General features: G+C 39.0%; 1 protein-coding gene across 2 annotated transcripts in view, besides 1 other annotated feature; it reads left to right on the forward strand.

Annotated features, from left to right (window-relative positions):
• The window catches only part of GRIA3 (glutamate ionotropic receptor AMPA type subunit 3), a 306,638-nt gene that overhangs the window by 95,081 nt on the left and 186,674 nt on the right, over positions 1-24,883 (forward strand). The gene's annotated exons all lie outside the window — the stretch shown is intronic.
• Positions 3,430-3,931: an enhancer, noted in NCBI's record as "H3K4me1 hESC enhancer chrX:122416639-122417140 (GRCh37/hg19 assembly coordinates)". NCBI's record gives its function as "activates a minimal SCP1, AML or CMV promoter by ChIP-STARR-seq in naive H9 embryonic stem cells {active_cell/tissue: H9 hESC(naive)}" and the evidence as "EXISTENCE:reporter gene assay evidence [ECO:0000049][PMID:30033119]".

Raw genomic sequence — 24,883 nt, forward strand, 5'->3', positions numbered from 1 at the left:
GTGGATGTTATGTGCTCTTACCACAAAAATAATAATAATAAATTTGTTAATTAGCTAGATCTAACCATGACACAATGTATATGTACTTCAAAACATCATGTTGTACACAATAAAAACATACAATGTTATCTGTCAATTAAAAATTTTTTTTATATAGAGCCAACAGATTTCAAGTTTGGACGTTGGTTCAAAGCTTTCTCCTTTCATATGGAATTGCTTTGTTTCAAGGAAATAGAAGTTTCAAAACAGCAGGCAGATGGATGTACAGAAGTATGCAAGGTGAAGAGGACTGAGAGGAGCTGGCAGAGGGAGGAAGAAGTAGGCGGGGAATATTCTAACTAATTCAGATAGCATCCCTACAAGCCCCAGCAGAATAGCACAACAAAGCTGATTTCCCAGCATGTTAATTTCCCAAAGACTTCTCTATTAGCCAGCCCTCTGCACATCAACAACATATGGGGACCTGGAGTTCTACCTATGGCTCAGGAACTCTTTAAGGTCTTGAAGTACCTCCCTAAATTACCAAAGAAAGACAAAATTATGTTCAAATTGATACAACATTATAATTATATTTTGCTTTATATTTACTCTTTGAAAATCACAAATCCCTATAAAGTGAATAGGGAAGCACTCTGTTAAACTAGACTATTTGATGAATCAAGGTACTCCATTCCCAACTGTGCATAAAACTGAAAGTTTGAAGGATTGTAGACATTTGTAACTCCATCTTGCAACCAGAGAAAAAGAATCAAATGAAGATCAGCAGCTCACACTTCACAAATGAATATCATAGCTCCAAATAGGGCTCCCAGGGCAAATCATTCATCACTTTCTTGATTCTCAATCACAGCCACACTCCTGAGTTCATCTTGAAAAGACACCCTAAGGTTTTAGACATGGAAACCAAAACACGCAGACATTTCTTCTTTTCACTATAGTCTCACTTTATTTCACATTCATCTTTTGCCTCTAAACTGTACAAAAAAACCACTTCATCTTTTTTTGTGGTGCTTTTGGGTCTGGCTATCAAACTGGTTCTGTGGCGGAATGCCAAATTAAATACACTCTTTTTTATTATTAAAAATAAGGTAGCTGAGGATTAGTTCATCAAAATTCTCGGGTAATGGACTGTTCTAATTAAAAGAATATTCTGATAAACTGGGTTTAGCTGCAACTACAAGAATGTTGAAACAACGTATCTAGTTTGGTCTACTTTTGGCATATTTTCTGAAATGTCTGGTTTCATGTCCCACCTTAAAAATATGATTGAATCTTCGGTACTTGAGGCTCTTTCAGGGTTTTAGAGTTATTATTTTGAACATCTATTTTTAATGTCCAGAGTTAGAAATGAATATAGATAAAACTATACATGAGCTGAGTTCTGGACATAGCTTTGGTGAAATTTCCAATGTGAGAGGTTTATTGTGTATTGCCTCTTTTAAGTCAAGGACAACGGAAGAGGACAATTATGCTAACTGAAGTTTCTGGCTAAACAAAATTTAATGTAACAATACATTCAACTTTTCCATACATTTTCACACCTGGATTCACTTGATCTTCATTATACTCTCGGGAGACTGACTCTTCATTTTATAAGCTGAAACCTAGAGATGCTAAGTGACTTACTCAAGGCCGAGATTATCAAGTTTTTGAAGTCCCAGTCTAGTGTTCTTTTCAGCACATGCAATATCCATGTCAATTCTAGTTTTACTATATTTGTATTGACTTCCTCCCAAGCAGGCCACACTGAGCTCAGCTAATCTCAACACAGTAGGAGTAATATATGAATATATACTCAAACTTTAGTAGCACTCAGAATAGCTTAGGTGAAAGTCATGGCTAAGATAATGACAGCTGCCAGAAGAGTGTCCTTAAGCACTCCAGTTGAGAGCTATTTATTTTGCATAATATGATCTTGGCATACTAAATGTTCATTTGCATCCTCACATTGAGGACACTTTACTTGTCTATGGCATCATTGTCTGTGGAAATAAATTTTCTTCAGAAGGTTTTAGTGTCTCTAACAATAACTGCTGGACTTCTGAGTGGCCAAAGAATTCTAGTATTTGAAAAGAAGGGAGAATGTGTGTTCTTAGATTGCTTGTATGTCTTTTAAGAAATAAAAAGAAATTATCTCTGTTGATCTTTATAGTAATTTTATGAAGTTGGTACTGCAGGTGTCATGATTCCGTTTTACAGAAGTGATTCCTGAGATTAAACAAGCTTGTCATGGTACCTTAAACCTAGCCACACATTCCTTTTCCTATGGTGCTTACTAAAGCTCACTTATCATCAGAATGCCCTAGGAGCATGTTACAAATACATATAGCCTTCCCAGCTCCTTCCCTGACATCCTGAAAATTGCCTGCTCCACCAACTTCATAAGATGACTATCAAGATCAACTGATAAAATTTTAATTTTCTTACTGAAAATGAAGGAATTAAGACACTAAAGAATGGCAGCTGCTTAGAGCAATAATTTAATGATTACCTGCTCTGTGATGAACACCACATCCCATGGTGGAGGTTGGATAGGAATAAGGACACACAAGATACATAGGACTCAGAGTGTGGCCTTGGAGAGTTTATAAGGTAGTTGGTTGCCAACTACCTTATAGCAGTAGTTGCAAGAACCAACTCTAGCATGCCTCAGAAATCATCTGGAGGACTTGTTAAAACACCAATTACTGGGCCTCAGCCTCACAGTTTCTGCTTCATTAAGTCTACAGGTGGAACTCTGAGAATCTGCATTTTTAACAAGTTCCCAGGTGATGCCAATGCTGCTAGTACAAAGAACACAATTTGAGAGTCACTAGCTTAGGCATCATTTAAAATTGTATGACTGTCTTGGAGTTAAAAGTGATATTTCAGAATATATGCATGAAAGAAAATTAAAACAAAAGGAAACAATGATCTGTAGTATTATACGGACTACCCTGTGTCCCCCTCCTCTTTCCCTTCACTGCCCTCACAGGGCTACATGTCCATGCACTGCAGTCACAGAAATAAATCTTTCTGATATCTGAAAAACAATCCCATTTTCTTACCACAAATGCACTGGCTGGCACCACTTCAAATGGAAACATTTGCTTCCTTCACTGCCTGGTTTCTCTAGAAATAGGAAAACCCTCTGCTTTAGAGTCCAGAAGGAGGCAGAAGAGAGGACCACCTCTCCCCATCGCCAAAGGCAGCGTTTCTCATACTCCAGTCCTCAGATGAACAGTGGCAGAATCATTCGGTGTCTTTATTAATAACGAAAATTACAGGCTGGGAGCAGTGGCTCATGCTTATAATCCCACCACTTTGGGAGGCCAAGGTGGGCAGATCACTTAAGGCCAGAAGTTTTAGATCAGTCTGGCCAACATGGCGAAACCCTGTCTCTACTAAAAATATAAGAACTAGTTGTGTGTGGTTGCACGTGCCTGTAATCCCAGCTACTGGGGAGACTGAGGCAAGAGAATCGCTTGTACCAGGGAGGTGGAGGTTGCAGTGAGCCGAGATTGCACCACTGCACTTCATCCTGGGTGACAGAGTGAGACAATGTCTCAAAAAATATAATAATGACAGATTAAAAATGAAAACATGGGTGGCTGGCAAGACGGCCAAATAGGAACAGCTCCGGTCTGCAGCTCCCAGTGAGATCAACACAGAAGGCAGGTGATTTCTGCATTTCCAACTGATGTACCCAGCTTACTTCATGGGGACTGGTTAGACAGTGGGTGCAGCCCACGAAAGGCGAGCCAAAGCAGGGTGGGGCATTGCCTCATCCGGGAAGCACAAGGGGTCGGGGAACTCCCTCCCTTAGCCAAGGGAAGCCGTGACAGACTGTGCCATAAGGAATGGTGCACTCTGACCCAGATACTATGCTTTTCCCACAGTCTTCACAATCCATACACCAGGAGATTCCCTCGGGTGCCTATGCCACCAGGGCCCTGGGTTTCAAGCACAAAACTGGGCAGCCATTTGGGCAGACACCGAGCTAGCTGCAGGATTTTTTTTTCATACCCCAGTGGCATCTGGAATGCCAGCGAGACAGAACCATTCACTGCCCTGGAAAGGGGGCTGAAGCCAGAAATCCAAGAGGTCTAGCTCAGCAGACCCCACCCTCATGGAGCCCAGCAAGCTAAGATCCACTGGCTTGAAATTCTCGCTGCCAGCACAGCACTCTGAAGTCGACCTGAGATGCTGGAGCTTGGTGGGGGGAGGGGCGTCCACCATTACCGAGACTTGAGTAGGCGGTTTTCCCCTCACAGTGTAAACAAAGCCACCTGGGAAGTTCAAACTCGGCAGAGCCCACTGCAGCTTGGCAAAGCAGCTGTAACCAGACTCCCTCTCTAGATTCCCCTTCTCTGGGCAGGGCATCTCTGAAAGAAAGGCAGCAGCCCCAGTCAGGAGCTTATAGATAAAACTCCTATCTCTCTGGGACAGAGCACCTGGAGGAAGGGGTGGCTGTGGGCACAGCTTCAGTAGACTTCAGTGTTCCTGCCTGCTGGCTCTGAAGAGAGCAGCAGATCTCCCAGCACAGTGCTGAAGCTCTGCTAAGGGACAGATGGCCTCCTCAAGTGGGTCCCTGACCCCCATGCCTCCTGACTAGGAGACACCTCCCAACAGGGGGCAAAAGACACCTCATACAGGAGAGCTCCAGCTGGCATCTGGCAGGTGGCCCTATGGGACGAATCTTCCACAGGAAGGAACAGGCAGCAATCTTTGCTGTTCTGCAGCCTCTGCTGGTAATAACCAGGCAAACAGGGTCTGGAGTGGACTTCCAGCAAACTCCAGCAGACTGGCAGCAGAGGGGCCTGACTGTTAGAAGGAAAACTAACAAACAGAAAGGAATAGCATCAACATCAACAAAAAGGATGTCCACACAGAAACCCCATCTGAAGGTCACCAACATCAAAGACCAAAGGTAGATAAATCCAAGAAGATAAGAAAAACCGGCACAAAAAGGCTGAAAATTCCAAAAACCAGAATGCCTCTTCAACTCCAAAGGATCACAACTCCTCGCTAGCAAGGGAATAAACCTGGACTGAGAATGAGTTTGAGGAATTGACAGAAGTAGGCTTCAGAGGGTTGGTAATAGCAACCTCCTCCGAGCTAAAGGAGCATGTTTTAACCCAATGCAAGGAAGCTAAGAACCTTCAAAAAAGGTTAGAGGAATTGCTAACCAGAATAACCAGTTTAGAGAAGAACATAAATGACCTGATGGAGCTGAAAAACACAGCACGAGAACTTCATGGAGCATACATAAGAATCATAGCTGAATCGATCAAGCAGAAAAAAAGGATATCAGAGATTGAAGATCCACTTAATGAAATAAAGCGTGAAGACAAGATTAGAGAAAAAAGAATGTAAAGGAACAAACAAAGCCTCCAAGAAATATGGGACTGTGTGAAAAGACTAAACCGGCATTTGATTGGTGTACCTCAAAGTGACAGGGAGAATGGAACCAAGTTGGAAAACACTATTCAGGATACTATCCAGGAGAACTTCCCCAACCTAGCAAGACAGGCCAACATTCAAATTCAGGAAATACAGAGAACACCACAAAGATACTCCTCGAGAAGAGCAACCCCAAGACACATAATCATCAGATTCACCAAGGTTGAAATGAAGGAAAAAATGTTAAGGGCAGCCAGAGAGAAAGGTCGGGTTACCCACAAAGGGAAGCCCATCAGACTAACAGTGGATTTCTCGGCAGAAACCCTACAAGCCAGAAGAGAGTGGGGGCCAATATTCAACATTCTTAAAGAAAAGAATTTTCAGCCCAGAATTTCATATCCAGCCAAACTAAGCTTCATAAGCAAAGAAGAAATAAAATCCTTTACAGACAAGCAAATGCTGAGAGATTTTGTCACTGCCAGTCCTGCCTTACAAGAGCTCCTGAAGGAAGCACTATATACTGAATGGAAAAACCGGTACCAGCCACCGCAAAAACATATAAATTGTAAAGACCATTGACACTATGCAGAAACTGCACCAACCAATGGGCAAAATAACCAGCTGGCATCATAATGACAGGATCAAATTCACACATAACAATATTACCCTTAAATGTAAACAGGATAAATGCCGCAATTAAAAGACACAGACTGGCAAATTGGATCAAGAGTCAAGGCCCATCGGTGTGCTGTATTCAGGAGACCCATCTCACATGCAAAGACACACATAGGCTCAAAATAAAGGGATGGAAAAATACTTTCCAAGCAAATGAAAAGCAAAAAAAAAAAAAAAAAAAAAAAAAGCAGGGGTTGCAGTCCTAGTCTCTGATAAAACAAACTTTAAACCAACAAAGACCAAAAAAGACAAAGAAGGGAATTACATAATGGTAAAGGGATCAATGCAACAAGAAGAGCTAACTATCCTAAATATATTTGCACCCAAGACAGGAGTACCCAGATTCATAAAGCAAGTTCTTAGAGACCTACAAAGAGACTTAGTCTCCCACACAATAACAGTGGGAGATTTTAACACCCCACTGTCAATATTAGACAGATCAACAAGACAGAAAATTAACAAGGATATTCAGGACTTGAACTCAGCTCTGGACCAAGTGGACCTAATAGAAATCTACAGAACTCTCCACCCCAAATCAACAGAATATACATTCTTCTCAGCACCACATCACACTTATTCTAAAACTGACCACATGATTGGAAGTAAAACACTCCTCAGCAAATGCAAAAGAACAGAAATCATAACAAACAGTCTCTCAGACCACAGTGCAATCAAATTAGAACTCAGGATTAAGAAACTCACTCAAAACTGCGCGACTACCTGGAAACTGAACAACCTGCTCCTGAATGACTACTGGGTAAATAACAAAATTAAGGCAGAAATAAATAAGTTCTTTGAAACCAATGAGAACAAAGACAGAATGTACCAGCATCTCTGGGATACAGCTAAAGCAGTGTTTAGAGGGAAATTTACAGCACTAAATGCCCACATCAGAAAGATGGAAAGATCTAAATTCGACACCCTAACATCACAATTAAAAGAACTAGAGAAGCAAGAGCAAACAAATTCAAAACCTAGCAGAAGACAAGAAATAACTAAGATCAGAGCAGAACGAAAGGAGATAGAGACACGAAAAACCCTTCAAAAAATCAGTGAATCCAGGAGCTGCTGTTTTGAAAAGATTAACGAAATAGACCACTAACCAGACTAATAAAGAATAAAAGAGAGAAGAATCAAATAGACACAATAAAAACCGATAAAGGGACATCATCACTGATCCCACAGAAATACAAACTACCATCAGAGAGTACTATAAACACCTCTACGCAAATAAACCAGAAAATCTAGATGAAATGGATAAATTCCTGGACACACACACCCTTCCAAGACTAAACCAGGAAAAAGTCGAATCCCTGAATACACCAATAACAAGTTCCGAAATTGGGGCAATAATTAATAGCCTACCAACCAAAAAGAACCAAGGACCAGACGGATTCGCAGCCAAATTTTACCAGAGATACAAAGAGGAGCTGGTACCATTCCTTCTGAAACTATTCCAAACTACAGAAAAAGAGGGACATCTCCCTAACTTATTTTATGAGGCCAGCATCATCCTGATACCAAAACCTGGGACAGACACAACAAAAAAAGAAAATTTCAGGCCAATATCCCTGATGAACATCGATGCAAAAATCCTCAATAAAATACTGGCAAACCAAATCCAGCAGCACATCAAAAAGCTTATCCACCACGATCAAGTTGGCTTCATCCCTGGGATGCAAAGCTGATTCAACATACGCAAATCAATACACATAATCCATCACATAAACAGAACCAATGACAAAAACCACATGATTATCTCAATAGATGCAGAAAAGGCCTTCGATAAGATTCAGCACCCCTCCATGCTAAAAACTCTCAATAAACTAGGTATTGAAGGAGCATACATCGAAATAATAAGATCTATTTATGACAAACCCACAGCCAGTATCATACAGAATGGGCAAAAGCTGGAAGCATTCCCTTTGAAAAGAGACACAAGACAAGGATGCCATCTCTCACCATTCCTATTCAACATAGTATTGGAAGTTCCGGCCAGGGCAATCAGGCAAGAGAAAGAAATAAAGGGTATTCATATAGGAAGACAGGAAGTCAAATTGTCTCTGTTTGCAGATGACATGATTGTATATTTAGAAAACCCCATCGTCTCAGCCCAAAATCTCCTTAAGCTGATAAGCAACTTCAGCAAAGTCTCAGGATACAAAATCAATGTGCAAAAATTACAAGCATTCCTATACACCAATAATAGACAAACAGAGAGCCAATTCATGAGTAAACTCCCATTCACAATTGCTACAAACAGGATATAATACCTAAGAATACAACTTACAAGGGATGTGAAAGACCTCCTCAGGGACAACTACAAACCACTGATCAAGGAAATAAGAGAGGACACAAACAAATAGAAAAACATTCCATGCTCATGGATAGAAAGAATCAATATCGTGAAAATGGCCATATTGCCCAAAGTAATTTATAGATTTAATGCTATCCCCATCAAGCTACCATTGACTTTCTTCACAGAATTAGAAAAAACTACTTTAAATTTCATAAGGGACCAAAAAAGAGCCCATATAGCCAAGACAATACTAAGCAAAAAGAACAAAGCTGGAGGCATCACGCTACCTGACTTCAAACTTTACTACAAGGCTGCAGTAACCAAAACAGCATGGTACTGGTACTAAAACAGATATATAGACCAATGGAACAGAACAGAGGCCTCAGAAATAATGCCACACATCTACAACCATCTGATCTTTGACAAACCTGAGAAAAACAAGCAATGGGGAAAGGATTCCCTATTTAATAAATGGTGTTGGGAAAACTGGCTAGCATTATGCAGAAAACTGAAACTGGACCCCTTCCTTACACCTTATAAAAAAATTAACTCAAGATGGATCATAGACTTAAATGTAAGACCTAAAACCATCAAAACCCTAGAAGAAAACCTAGGCAATACCATTCAGGACATAGGCATGGGCAAAGACTTCATGACTAAAACACCAAAAGCAATGGCAACAAAAGCCAGAATTGACAAATGGGATCTAATTAAACTAAAGAGCTTCTGCACAGCAAAAGAAACTATCATCGAGTGAACAAGCAACCTACAGAATGGGAGAAAATCTTTGCAATCTATCCATCTGACAAAGGGCTAATATCCAGAATCTACAAGGAACTTAAACAAACTTACAGGAAAAAAAACAAATTACCCCATCTAAAAGTGGGCAAAGGATATGAACAGACACTTATCAAAAGAAGACATTTACGTGGCCAACAAACATATGAAAAAAAAAGCTCATCACTACTGGTTATTAGAGAAATGCAAATCAAAACCACAATGAGATACCATCTCAAGCCAGTTAAAATGGCGATCATTAAAAAGTCAGGAAACAACAGATGCTGGAGAGGATGTGGAGAAATAGGAATGCTTTTACACTGTTGGTGGGAGTGCAAATTAGTTCAACCATTGTGGATGACAGTATGATGACTCCTCAAGGATCTAGAACCAGAAATACCATTTGACCCAGCAATCGCATTACTGGGTATACACCCAAAGGATTATAAATTATTCTACTATAAAGACACATGCACACGTATGTTTATTGCAGCACTATTCACAATAGCAAAGACTTGGAACCCACCCAAATGCCCATCAATGATAGACTGGATAAAGAAAATGTGGCACATATACACCATGGAATACTATGCAGCCATAAAAAAGAATGACTTCATGTCCTTTTCAGGGACAAGGATGAAGCTGGAAACCATCATTCTCAGCAAACTGATGCAGGAACAGAAAACCAAACACTGCATTTTCTCACTCACAAGTGGGAGTTGAACAATGAGAACACATGGACACAGAAAGGGGAACATCACACGCTGGGGCCTTTCAGGGTCTGGGGCACTAGGGGAGGGATAGCATTAGGAGAAATACATAATGTAGATGATGAGTTGATGAGTGCAGCAAATCACCATGGCACGTGTATACCTATGTAACAAACCTGCACGTTCTGCTCATGTATCCCAGAACTTAAAGTATAATTTAAAAAAAATATATATATATATATAAAGATAAAGATAATAATAAATAACGGAAATTGCAGTGACCCACTACAGACCAAGTGAATCAGAATTTCTAGAAGTGAGACCTGGGAATCTGGAATCTTAAGTGCCTTGAGTCATTGGGCTTTTCTGAGGCACAGTGAAATTGGAGAATCCCTATTAAAAGAATTTTCCCAATATTCGGTTTGGATAAGGACACTAAAAAGTCTGATTTCTCCTAACTGACCACCACTTCCCCTTTCCTGCGTCTTCATGTCCCTTGAGAAACCTTGTGAGACTGGAAGAGACACAAGGCTCCTCCCTCCTTCACCCTTACACATGACCACCCTCCACCCCCCCAACCAAGACATGTAAATCCATTTGGACTGAGACATTTCTGAGGTTGCTAAAGTACCCACCCTAGTCCCTGCCAAATTCCACCCAGTGAGGAAAACATTCCTTTATTTTTTAATGCACTTTTTATAATTTTTTTATCTTCTCTGTTCTAAAATGTTTCTCTCTCCTGCTTCTTTATGATATATTCTGGAGATATTTCAAAGCCATTTATACTTCATACTGATATTGGTGTTTTCACTGTTCTGTGAAATGCCATAGTTTATATTGAAATGATGCATTAAGATATAGGAGAAAAAGAGACATTGAGAGAGGAAAAAAATGGTGAGGAAAATAACCGAGAGCAACATTATGAGAAAGATGAACAGACCCAAGGGTTGGAACTCTCCCTCCTATAGCACTAAAATATTATCAATTCATTACTTGGCATGCACCTCTTCTTTCTAGGGTGGGGAAGACTTTGGAAGTTAGGGGATGAAATGCAATTCTTTCACCTGCTTTACCAGCTATGGGTCTGCCCGAGTTTTTGCTTTTTGGTTTATTGTCAAGTTACAGCAAATATATATTTTGTGTCTTCTGGGCTAGTCACTATATAACTTACAGTTTTTCATTGTGAGCTTCTCAATACAATTCCACACAGAGTAGATTAACTAATGAAGGTCAGAAAACACTATGGAGATATAGGTTGCTAGGACACAGAACCAAACAGATGAGTCCTCTATATGGGAGGGGGCACCCAACATGTGCAATTCACTAATGCTCAGTTTTAATTGGCTTCTAAATTCTGTTTCTCTTGCTCCCTCTCCTCAAAGGACTGTGTGTGTGTGTGTGTGTGTGTGTGTGTGTGTGTGTGTGTGTAAGGGTATATGTATAAAAAAATTATTTGCATTAGACATCATAATCATGTTCTCAATTTATATAGCACAATAACTTTTACATTTCTGCAGAGGATCTTATCCAATGCTCTTTTTCGCATTACTTTTCAGGATCATGCAAATATTACTGAGAATTTGAATAAAATCTGTGAAAGTAATAAAAAGTCATCCCTACAATAATTCCAAATGGAGCCAGACCTTTTGAAGGTGGCCACTTATAAGGTGGGGTTAATGAGCATCCAAAGTCTTTCTCTGACCCAAAATGTGTCCCTTGATTTCCCTGCCACAGCTATCAAAATCCATTTGTTACAATGGAGGGGGGTCACCCTTTGAGGCTAACACAGTGGAGAACTCTGCTATAAGTTAAAGCTTTAACACACAGGCATTTATTCAATTAGCTTCTATCACTTCACAAGGCCCTGAGGGAAACAGGACACAGAACAGATTAAGCTTTATTGGTTTTAATAGTGGTAGTGAATGGAGATCAGGAAAGACCTGAAACTGGGCACACTGGCATAGCAGGCTGACCTGGACAAAGCACCCTACTGAGGAGAACTGAATAGCCAGGAACTGAAAAGCCTTGAAGGTGCTGGAAGCCTGGTAGTAGGTAGATATGTATCTATTAAGATAACAAGGCTGCAAGTAGCAAATCTTGACTATCTGTGCTTTAAATAAGTAGTAAAAGCCTTCAAGCAGGTAGTTGTAGGCATTGTTTCTGCTGCTTAAGAATACCATCAAATGGCAACAACAGACACCGGGAACTACTACTGAGAGAGGGAGAGAAGAAGGCAAGAGTTGAAAAACTGTTGGGTGCTATGCTCAGTACCTGGGTGGCCAAAGCAATCATACCCCAAGCTTCAGCATCACACAATATACAAACCTGCACATGTACCCCTGAATCTCAAATAAAAGTTGAAATTATTTTTAAAAAAAGAAAAGAAAAAAAGTACAATTTTTAAGAGAAAGTATAAAAGAATAACATCAAAGACCTAAGCTCTTCCTTTTTGCTTCTCCATCCTTATCACCTGGCTTTCACCTATATGCTTGTTTCCCATTCACATCTCGTTTGCCAGAACTATATTGCATGGCCCGCCTCCTCAATATCAGTTGCAAGGGAGCCTGGGAAACAAAGTATCTAGCTGGGCACATTGCCACCTTAAACAAAACCAGGATTGTGTTAGCAAAGAAGGAGGAAATAGATATTGGGTAGGCAACAAACGATGCCTGCCAAAGACCAAAGGAGAGCTCTGGCTGCCCTTAGATCAACCATATTCACTGGGCACCTACTAGGTGCCAAACACTGTACCATGTGCTTGGAGATCTGACTTTTGCCTCAGGCTAACCAGAATTCAGAGAATGAAGCTACTCCAGAGGGATAAATTACCAAAACTAGCATCTAGCTGTGTGTCAAGTTTTATTTTTTTTTCCTAGCCACCAAGCTGCACTGAGCTTTGAGAACATAATTTCATCTAATCTTTCAAATTATTTGGGGCAGAGATTCAAACATCAGCTAACCCGCTCAATATAGGGACCATCACAAAGAAAGGTCTTTGAATTTTAGCTATCAGGATCATTTTTAAAAACTGTGCATCAGAGTTATTTTATGCATGCAAATCTCTTTCTGCTTTTTAATTGGATTTGTGCCTGGATGTACTACAAATTGCTTTTAAAGATGGGCTGCAGAATAGGTTCCAGCTATGGACACCAATACAATGGCATAGGCAGGTACTTTTGGTGTCACCTCACCTCCACACCTTTATTTCCACACAGTCTCCAATCTCATCCTACTTGCTGACTAGTCGGTACAAAGGACTTCTTCTAACCTAAAAACAACCTTTGAAGACCTCCCCCCACCCCACACCCCAAAAAAGCAAATGCAAAATCATTAAGAGCTCCAGAATGATTTTTACTAAGGAATTTTTCCTGGGGATTCTCTCTCCAAGGAAAGATAAATAAACGGCTCTCACAAAAGAACGAGTCTTTGCTGCTTTGATGTGAATGAGGCCAACCAGAAAATCCCTGCAGCTTAAAACCTAAGCTCAGTAACACTTTGTTTTTAGTAAAGTCAGAATGGAAAAAGACTTTGGGGAAGTCAAGAAGTGGCCAGTAGGATTACATGGCATAGACTCTTCAAAATCCAACTTTCTGCAGGCTGGTAGCAGTGGAATACAAAACTGTCTACCAAATGTGATTTGAGAAGAAAATTCATGCCCACAGATTTCTTTTTACCTTGGACGATCATGGCGAAAGTCCAAGTCCCTTAGGGCTTTCTGGTAACAGGTGCACTCCATTTCTAGGGAAGGATAATATGTTATCTGGGATTAGTTTATCTGGTTGGCCTATTGTCACCCAGAAGAGATCAGAGCCCTAAGGGTATGGTACCTTCTGGTGTTTTTAAATTTTGAGAAATAGGAAAGGGATGGTTTATAATTTAGAATCCAAGCAGAACTCAGTGAGGTGCACCAGAAGGAACTTCAAGATAGACACGGAAGAGTAGGTGGCCACTAGACCCCTGGGAAGAGAGTGAACCAAAGAGAAGTAGGAGAGCGGCAGGGCTCTGGAATGAGTCAATCATGACACCTATCTATGCCAAGCTTATGTTGGAATCAAAAGAGTATACTGAAGTGGGATATTTAGACCCATTTCTTAAATGATGCAGAGTGTTACAAAGCACCCAGTATAGTGTCTTACAGACACTCATAGAAAATATATAATAAATCCTAACCACGAAACATTTCATAAAGTAGAAGGTTTGAGGAAGGATAAGGTTGATAGAAAGGCAGCACCTTAGTGAAATAAATGAAAGTGTTCATTGATACTCCTGTACCATCCACTGCATCCCCTGTGCTTTTGCTTGCCCATACCTGATATAAAATCCCACCCAACATAACATCTCTATATATGAGTCATTAGAATTCATGGGTGGGGAGGGTAGTAATAATTTATGGAGTAGAAGAAAGGGACTAGGTGGGGAAGGGACAGTAGGAAGGAGAATAAAAGAAGCAGTTGAGGGTAGAAGCAAAACGGAGAATGGCTGTGAAAGTGCAAAGCGAAAATACAGGAAGAAGACACTGGATATTAACATAATAACAACAATAATAGTAAAAGTTATATAAGGCTTACTATGTGCCAAGTCCTGTTGGAAGCACCTCACGTACATTAACTCACTCTTCACAATAATCCCATGAAGTAGATTTATTATTATCTTCCAATTTTATAGATTAAGACATTGAGGCATAGAGTTTAAGTCAAAATAATGATACTTATAAAGCAGAGACAAGGGATAAAGAAAGAGACTGAATTCTGACATCATTTGCTCTCCAGATTTTTCAATTAAGCCAATAATGTCTTTCTTTCAAGTCAATTTAAGTCAGGTTTCTGTCCCTTGCAACAAAGAGTCCTTGCTAATAAAAAAAAAAAATCTATTGGCTGTTTATCATGGACAAAGTACTGGGCTAAGTGTTTTTATATACTTTTTAAATTTAATCCTGATGACTCAATGAGTTTGGTACTGTTATTATTATCCCTATTTTGAAGATGAAGAAACTGAGGCACAGAGATATTAAATAACTTACCCAGAGTCATGCAGCTAATAGGTAGCAGAACTGAGAGGTAAACTCCTGCAGTTTGACTTCACACTCTGTGCTTATCACAACCATACTAATCTTTGATGTGCACACAAATAGGCAGATAAAGGAAGAGCATGTCACTAGCCAGTAGTGAATAATGGAAACTGAAGGCCACTTCATTCCAACTGTTCCTTTTAAAGAGTAACCTGATAAAGTTATAGCCACCCATTCAAATTTCCAAGAAATCAGGTCCTATGCAGGTGAACATTTGTTTGGAGTCTCCTGACTCTTGGGAAACCATTATTTTTGATGGTATGTAGCCTTGACTCTCCAGTGAGGAGTCACTTAGCACTAATAGAAACTAGCTCTAGGATTTTATGTCCCCAAAAGAGACTCCCTTTCAAACAGGAAAAGGAAGAAGTTATGGTGAAGCTATCTCTGTGGGTACGGCTGGGAATACTTCTTAGAACAGGAAACCAGTAGCATCACACCCTGGAAACCACCATACCAAGATTCACAAAGCTAGCATCAACTGAGCAAAGCCTTCTTCCATTTCTTACGTGCCTACAGCCTCTCCATATAATCAAAGCTTGCATCCTTAATGGCTTTCAGTCAATCCCTATGAGCATTCCTTCTTCCACAAGTGTACTACAATTAGTTGCTGTAGCTTTACTGCAGAAGGAACTATGTATATGTTTTTAATTTTTTGTTGTTTTATTTTTAATGTATACAAATGCCTATCTGCTAGCGATAACTATTGGCCAAAGAATAATAGTCTATTCAACTGGGATTCAAACAGTTAAAGATTACAAATGGCTTTCATTGTTTTATAACTATTAGAAGGCTCCCCTGATAATTCCTTGCTGATTTATATCTTGGTCTCTATTTCTGCATAGTCACCATAAAAATGCTGTGTTAAATAATTTCATATTAAAAAACAAAACCAGGATTTAATCGTCACTTAAGAGGCAAACGATAATTTTTATCAGCCTTTGCGAATGGGCCTTGTTTCTCCTTCATTACATGTCTATAAATGTTTGCTAGTTCTTAGAAGTTAAATGACTAGAAGGATAGAAGAGACGTGAATTTTTAAAAATCAGTCACTGTTTTTAGCTCCATTCTAAAATACATCCTGCATGACACAGTAGATCTTCTCCATGAGACTAGTTAATAACAAGCATTCTGCATATTTTATAATTATGTGCACTACCAGCAGAGTGCCATTGGATTTATTGCACATTTGAGCCCCCAGAATCAGAGTCGTGCTTCACACTACCTATCATAACAAATGGCATGGAGGGGTTCTTTATGTTACAGGTTACTGAGTTGGATATTTAAATAGCACATTCGGAAGTGTTCTGAGTTATGGTCACCCTGCAAGAAAGGCACCATCCAAAGTACACTATGATTTAAGTGTCATGGCCCATGCTGGAGCTAGCAGCTAGCTGACTCAGAATTGGGATCTATAAAAAAGGAAATGAATAAAACCCTAGTTGATTAGGAGCAGATTGATCAGAAACATCTATTGTTTCTGATTGGGTTTTTGGCACACTCCAATTTTTAGATGTAAGAGGCAAGAAACACAGACATACATAGGTCATATTACTTCTTTTTTTCAGTAGATAGTCCAATTGCCTATACCTCTTTTCTATCTCCATCCTTTAAAATGTTGGAATGTATCACTAAGTGATATGTGTGTAGAAACCCCTTCTTTCTCTGGCATAAAAGGTATTCCACACATGGAGCAGTATTTCTCTCACTCCCACCTTAGAATGAAGGGAGAATGACCTTTGTTTTTCCATCATATACATAGAAAGTTTGAAGAATTTTTTATTTCAATGTGTGCAAAATAATTACTGATGCAACCTTGACTGTTTATACCACTTTTACTCATCAACCTATTATCCTCAGATAATGTCTTTGGATATGAACACTAACACTGGTACAATTAACTCTACATTGGTATGCTTGGAGTGGTGACATAACTTATCCTAGGTCCCACAACAAGGTCGATATAAAGGACAGACTAGATTACAGGTCTCTTGACTTCTGGCCGAATGTTCTTACTACTGAATGGTGTTATCTGCAACCTGTACTGCCCTTGGTTAATTTACTTTGAGAAACATATGCAAAAAAAAGTCTAGGATGTTGTTTTCTTACCCTATGCTCATGAATCAAACTTGTTCTTCTTCCCCCTCCTGTTACCAGCACCCTCCCCAATTCCCACCCCAACCTCCACATATCATTTAAAAGCCTGTGTTTCCTTCTACTATTCAAGAGACTGGAACATCCAGATCATCTAACTATGACTTGAGATAAATCACGCTATGTTCCCTCAGAAATTACTTTGACACAAACAATTACTCCAATAATATACGGTGGAAAATAGTGTTAAGTACAATCAGCAAATCTAAATGGCAGTAATTGGCATTACTAATTCTTGCACACAAATAAATAATTATACTACTTTCCTTCCAAATTTCAATTTGGACATGCAAAGTCCACTTAGTTCACTGGAGCAGAAAATGGAAGCCTTTACCAAAGTTGACAGTCCACATGATAATGTGTAGCCTATACCTTAAACTCATCTTTATATTGTTCACAGTAACTGTTAGCATGAGGCTTTGCATGTAGCAGGGTTTTAAATAAAGCCTTGTTAAATGAATGGTTGTTCATGACCAGTCTCTAATTTCCATATTATTTTTTATCCCATGAGAATAAAATGCTCGATTTCACTTTGTATTGTGGTATATAATAGAAGTTCTTATATAACTTAGTTTATTAAATATATTCAAGCATGCCTCTCCCAAAGCATACCAATTATGGAGAAGACCCTAAAGACACTACCCTATAGCCTTGCTACTTAAAGTGTGGTCCATAGACCAGAAGCATCAGCATCAACTGGGAGCTTGTCAGAATTTCAGGCCCCATCCCAGACCTATGGAATCAGAATCCACATTTACAAGATTCTCATGTGATTCCCGTGCATGTTAAAGCTTGACAAGTTCTGTGCCATGGGAACAGTTGTTAATCCTGTCACCTGACTCCAATCGTCACACTGCACATTCCAGTCTATAAAACCTCTTGAACCCCTATGGGTTTATTAGGCACTAGATAGAATACAGACAAAGGAAAAGACATAGCTTTTAGCAAGGACAATATATAATCTAGCTCTAATTCATGTGGTTTACATTGCAGTAATGCAATCATAGGGAAGATCAGGTAGATTGGGTTGTTCAGGGAAGGCTTATTGGAAATGGAATAATTTACTAATCAGTACTTTTGGAAGTGGGGAAAAGTGGTAACAATAGCTAATGTTTGTCTAGTGCTTACTATCTGCAAAGGCCTCAGGTTACACTTTTTCATTTATCATCCCATTTAATCCTCACATTAATTCGATGAGTTAGGTTTAGTGTAGTGGCAAAGTGCGTAGGCTCTAAAGTAAAATGGTCTGAGTTTGAATCCTACCTTTGCTACTTACTAGCTGTGAGATCTTGGAAAATATTTTTTTTAACTTTTATTTTATGTTCGGGGGTACATGTGCAGGTTTGTTACATAGATAAACTTATGTCATAGGGGTTTGTTGTACAGATTATTTCCTCACCCAGATATTAAGCCTAGTACCCATTAGTTATTTTTCCTGGTCCTCTCCCTTCTCCCACCCTCCACCCTCTGAGAGGCCCCCGTATGTGTTTTTCCCCTCTATGTGCCTGTGTGTTCTCATCATTTAGCTCCCACTTATAAATAAGAACATGCGGTATTTGTTTTTCTGTTCCTGTGTTAGTTTGCTAAGGATAATGGCCTCCAGCTCCATCAATGTCTCCTCAAAGGACACGATTTTTTTTATGCTGTTCTTTTTTATGCTGCATAGTATTGCATGGTGTATATTATGACATTTTCTTTATCCAATCTCTCTTTGATGGGCATTTAGGCTGATTCCATGTCTCTGCTATTGTGAATATGCTGCAATGAACAGTCACATGCATGTGTCTTTATGGTAGAAGGATTTACATTCCTCTGGGTATATGCCCAGTAATGGGATTGTTGGGTCAAATTACAGTTCTGCTTTTAGGTCTCTGAGGAATCAAAACACTGTCTTCCACAATGGTTGAGCTAATTTACACTCCCAGCAAGGGTATATAAGGGTACCATTTTCTCCACAACCTCACCAGCATCTGTTATTTTTTGACTTTCTAATAATAGCCATTCTGACTGTTGTGGCATGGTATCTCATTGTGATTTTCATTTACATTTCTCTAATGATCAGTGATGTTGAGCTTTTTTCATATGATTATTGACTGCATGTATGTCTTCTTTTGAAAAGTGTCTATTCATGTCCTTTTGCCCACTTTTTAATGGGGTCGTTTGCTTTTTCTTGTAAATTGGTTTAAGTTCCTTATAGATGCTATATATTATACCTTTATCAGACTCATAGTTTGCAAAAATTTTTTCCCATTGTGTAGGTTGTCTATTTATACTGTTGATAGTTTATTTTGTTATGCAGAAGCTCTTTAGTTTAATTAGATACCATTTGTCAATTTTTGCTTTTGTTGCAGTTGCTTTTGGTGTCTTCCTCATGAAATCTTTGCCCATGCCTATGTTCTGAATGCTATTTCCCTGGTTGTCTTCCAGGGTTTTTATAGTTTTGGGTTTTATATTTAAGTCTTTTTTTCATCTTGAGTTAATTTTTTTTATGGTGTAAGGAGTCCAGTTTCAATCTTCTGCATATGGCTAGTCAGCTTTCCCAGTACTGTTCATTGAATAGGGAATTTTTCTCCATTGCTTGTTTTTGTCAGGTTTGTCGAAGATCAGATAGTTGTAGGTGTATGGTCTCATTTCTGGGTTGTCTATTCTGTTCCATTGGTCAATGTGTCTATTTTTTTGCACCAGTACCATGCTGTTTTGGTTACTTTAGCCTTGTACTATAGTATGAAGTTAGACAGCATGATGCCTCCAGCTTTGTTCTTCTTGTTTAGGATTGCTTGGCTATTCAGGCTCTTTTTGTGGTTCCATATGAATTTTAAAATACTTTTTTATAGTTTTGTGAAGAAACTCCATGGTAGTTTAATAGGAATAGCATTGAGTCTATAAATTGCTTTGGGCAGTATGGCCATTTTCACGATATTGATTCTTCCTATCCATGAGTATGGAATGTTTTTCCATTTGTTTGTGTCATCTCTGATTTCTTTGAGCAGTGGTTTGTAGTTCTCCTTGTAGAGATCTTTTGGCTCCCTAGTTAGCTGTATTCCTAGGTATTTTATTCTTTCTGTGGCAATTGTGAATGGGAGTTTGTTCCTAATTTAGCTCTAGGCTTGACTGTTGTTTGTGTATAGGAATGCTAGTAATTTTTGCACATGGATTTTGTATCCTGAGACTTTGCTGAAGTTGCTTATCAGCTTAAGAAGCTTTGGGGCTGAGACTATGGAATTTTCTAGATATAGGATCATGTCATCTGCCAACAGGGATAGTTTGACTTCCTCTCTTCCTATTTGGATGCCCTTTATTTATTTCTCTTGCCTGATTGCCCTGGCCAGAACTTCCAATACTATGCTGAATAGGAGTGGTGAGAGAAGGCATCCTTGTCTTGTGCTGATTTTCAAGGGGGAATGCTTCTCACTTTTTCCCATTCAGTATGACATTGGCTGTGGGTTTGTCATATATGACTTACTATTTTGAGGTATGCTCCTTCAATACCTAGTTTATTTAGAGTTTTTTAACATAAACAGATGTTGAATTTTATCAAAAGCATTTTCTGCATATATTAAGGTAATCATGGTTTTTGTCTTTAATTCTGTTTATCTGATGAATCACATTTATTGATTTGTGTATGTTGAACCAATCTTGCATCCCAGGGATAAAGCCAACTTGATCATGATGGATTAGTTTTTGGATGTGCTGCTGGATTCGGTTTGCTAGTATTTTGTTGAGGATTTTGCACGTATGTTCATCTGGGATATTGGCCTGAAGTTTTCTTTTATTGTTGTGTCGTTACCAGGATTTGGTACCAGGATGATGCTGGCCTCATAGAATGAGTTAGGGAGGAGACCCTCCTCCTCAATTTTTTAGAATAGTTTCAGTTGGAATGGTTCCAGCTCTTCTTTGTACATGTGGTAGAATTCAGCTGTGAATCTGTCTGGTCCTGGGCTTTTTTTTTTTTTTTTTTTTTTTTTTTGGTTGGTAGGCTACTTACTACTGCCTCAATTTCAGAGCTCATTATTGATCTTTTCAGGGATTTAATTTCTCCATGGTTCAGTCTTGGGAGGGTGTATGTATCTAGGAATTTATGCATTTCTGACTGTTTATTTGAATTTTCTCTCTTTTCTTATTAGTCTAGCTAATGGTCTATCTATTTTATTAATTTCTTTTCAAAAATCCAGCTCCGGGATTCATTGATTTTTTAATGGTTTTTTGTTTGTTTGTTTGTTTGTTTGTTTGTTTTTTGTATCTCGACCTCCTTCAGTTCAGCTCTGCTTTTGGTTCTTGTGTTCTGCTAGCTTTGGTATTTGTTTGCTTCTGGCTCATTGGTTTTTTTAGCTGTGATGTTAGGTTGTTAATTTGAGATCTTTCTAACTTTTCGAGATGGGCATTTAGTGCTATAAATTTCGCTCTAACACTGCCTTAGCTGTGTCTCAGAGATTCTGATATGTTGTATCTTTGTTCTCATTAGTTTTCAAAAAACTTCTTGATTTTTGCCTTAAGTTCATTATTTATCCAAAAGTCATTCAGGAGCAGGTTATTCAATTTCCATGTAATTGTATGGTTTTGAATGAATTTCTTAGTCTTCATTTGTAATTTGATCGTGCTGTGGTCCCAGAGACTGTTTGTTACAATTTCAGTTCTTTTGCATTTGCTGAGAAGTGCTTTACTTCTGATCACGTGGTCAATTTTAGAGTATGTGCCATGTGCCAATGGGAGGAATATATATTCTGTTGTTTTTGGGTAGAGAGTTCTGTAGATATCTATCAGGTCCGTTTGGTCCAGTGTTGAGTTCAAGTCCTGAATATCTTTGTTAATTTTCTGTCTCAACAATCTGTCTAATCCTGTCAGTGGGGTGTTGAAGTATCCCACTATTATTGTCTGGGAGTCTAAATCTCTTTGAAGGTCTCTAAGAACTTGCTTTTTGAATCTTGGTGCTCCTGTATTAGGCGCACATATGTTTAGGATACTTAGATCTTGTTGAATTGAACCCTTTACTGTTATGGAAAGACCTTCTTGGACAAGATATTTAAACTCTCTATGCCTTAGTTTCCTAATCTATAGAATGGAGATAATAGCAGCACCTACCTCTAGTACCCATTAGAATTAAAGGAGTTAATATGTATGAAACACTTAGAGCAATGCCCATCACATAGTAACCATCCAATAAATGTCAGATGCTACTATTTTCATTTTATATGTGGAGAAACTGATGCACAGAGAAGTTGAATAACTTTTTCAAAGTCACACAGCTAGTAAGTGGTGGAGCTAGAACTTAAATGTTGCTTTGTGTGACTACAGAGCTCACACTTTCAACTCTTTATTACATAATTTAAAATGTTCCTGAAGAGGGAGAAGGAGAAAACTGTTCTAAATCCAAACTTTTCCAATGATTATGAGCCCAATCCTCCTGTGGAAGCTGGGCCCACACAAGTATTAGGCAATAAGCTGACAATATTTGAGATAGTGTCTTCATATAAGATTCCAAGCAGATTTCACTATTTGCAACAAAATTCATCAAAACTTTAAATTGTTTTCCCAGCAGTGGCTATGGCTTTGCCCAGTAATTTATAATCTTCTGCCTGGATAACTTCGTGACCAGACAAAAGTAAGGGATACAGGCTGCACAAGGCCTAGAATAAACGTATCTGGCCCTCATGAGCCTGGTATTTAAGAAATGGTGTTTCTGTGCAAAGCACACCTTTAAAAGACAGACTGAACACCTTCTGAATAGCCTGGAATCGGATCTTAGACATAGAATCAGATGTCACTGGATTAGAGGGTAGTTTTTGGTTCTTTCTAAATTCTGGGTCTTATTCAGATGAGATTAATTCTGTGTCAAAATCTTGGCTAAGATCTCTTCTGTATGACCTTGAGTCAGTCAGTATCCTTCTCTGGACCTCAGTTTCCAATATATGTAAAATAAGACTAATGGGATGGTCTCTACATGTCTTTCCAATTCCAATATAGTCTTTACAGTTTTGAAAGTGTGTTTTATCCACACCACTTCTCTCCTCCCTGGTCTTTAGTGATGTGGAAAGAGCATAGGCTTTGGAATCAGATAGACATAGGGTTACCTCCTTGCCCCCAGGACTTAGAAGCTGGGTGACCTTGGTCAAAATATGCCTCTCTCTGGATCTCGATTCTCTCCTAGAGATAGTAATACTCCCACCTCACAGGGTTACCAGGAATTGTATGTAGTAGAAGGCATGCAATTTACTAATAAATATCTCTCCCTGAATTTCTGAGGATCATTATATGGGTCTATTACTCTATCGTCTACACAGAACCACTTTTGTATGCTTAGAGAAGTCAAGGGTAACATTGGCCTGTGTGATCTTCTAATACTGAAACCTTTCCCTATAAGCCAGAAAGATCCATTGAGGAGTTTTAATATCTTGATAAGGTCAGAGAAGGGCCAAGGAAGAGCTATTGTAATGGTCATGGCGTACCCCTTAGCAATTCTATCCTCTGTCTAAGTCTAATAGGACAAGTGTTTAATATTACACACTCACAATAGAATTTCCTTTCTATGACGTGGGCTCCCAGAGACTATTTCAAATCTGAGTTTCATAGCAAAAACTTTCCACTGCCAACCCCTTCACAATTTTTTCACCCCAGAATGGTCTCCTATTACTTTTAAGGACTACTGCAACATTTATTTAAAGTAAAATTAATGTTAATGCATTTAGATTTTATTCAGATATTGGGTTGCAGGATCTAGTAAGAGTGTGTCCAAGCTCCTGATCAATCACATTGGAAAGCAGAATTCTCAGTAGTGGGAAAAATCTAGATTTGTCATTGACTAACCAAACAAGTCATAAAATCATTCACTTGTTTTTAGAGCAGTGCTTTGGTTCAGCTAGGAAGGCTTAGTTCCTTCTAGTCAGGAACCATATAGAAAAATGAAAGAACACTTCCGAAGAACATTTGTCACCTTGGTTTGGGTGACGGTGTGATGTATACAGGAAAAGATGTTAAGGTGAAATAAAATATATAATTTACCCAGCAGGATATCTACTGCTGGGAATAGGTTGTCATCCATTGATGAGAGTCATAAGCTTCACTATGTAAACATTTTAAGGAAACATATATCTGTGAAGGCACTATGGTTAAAAAGTTCATCTCTTTCTCTGATGTTTCATCTATGTTTCATGTTTTGCATCGTTACTTATTTCAGGCGGGGTCAGTACTGGTCTAGTTCCATTCTTTGCAATAAGGCCATGTTATTTGACACCACACTTCTTGACCACTCCACCCCAACTTTTGCTCCCATACCCAAGGAGAATCTTGACTCACTTCAGACACTTCTTCTGTGAGGAGGATCTCCCATTAGCCCCCAAAGCCCCACTTTTAGTGCTACAACCAAGGAGAATCCAGTGAAGATATAGCATGTGTCAGCCCTAATTTCAGATTCCAAAATAACATTTAAATTTCTTTTTACAGTAAAATCTCTATCAAACAGAGTCTGATGGGTCAGAATCTTCAAATAGCCAAAATTTCTGCCTAGAGATTTTAGGAAAAAAAAAATGATTTCAAAAGGAGCGGGTGATATCAGGGATTTAGTAAAAGTGACAGTCTCCTTGGGCTGCTCCAGGGTCAGTACACATTTAGCCAGTTGCCTCCATTTTAACTTCTACAGTCCTGGGTAATGAATACCTATGTTCAGAAAGATGACCCTGAGACATTGTAATATCCTTGGGCACCAAAAAAGATTCTGCAATATTCAGTTGGTTATATTTATCAAGGAAGAAAAGTGGGCTTACATATTTTATAGAAACTTTCAATGGCATTTCAATAACAACAACAATAACAACAACAACAACAAAA

This window comes from Homo sapiens, chromosome X, assembly GCF_000001405.40.
Source record: "Homo sapiens chromosome X, GRCh38.p14 Primary Assembly".
In the NCBI taxonomy this organism is placed as follows: domain Eukaryota; kingdom Metazoa; phylum Chordata; class Mammalia; order Primates; family Hominidae; genus Homo; species Homo sapiens.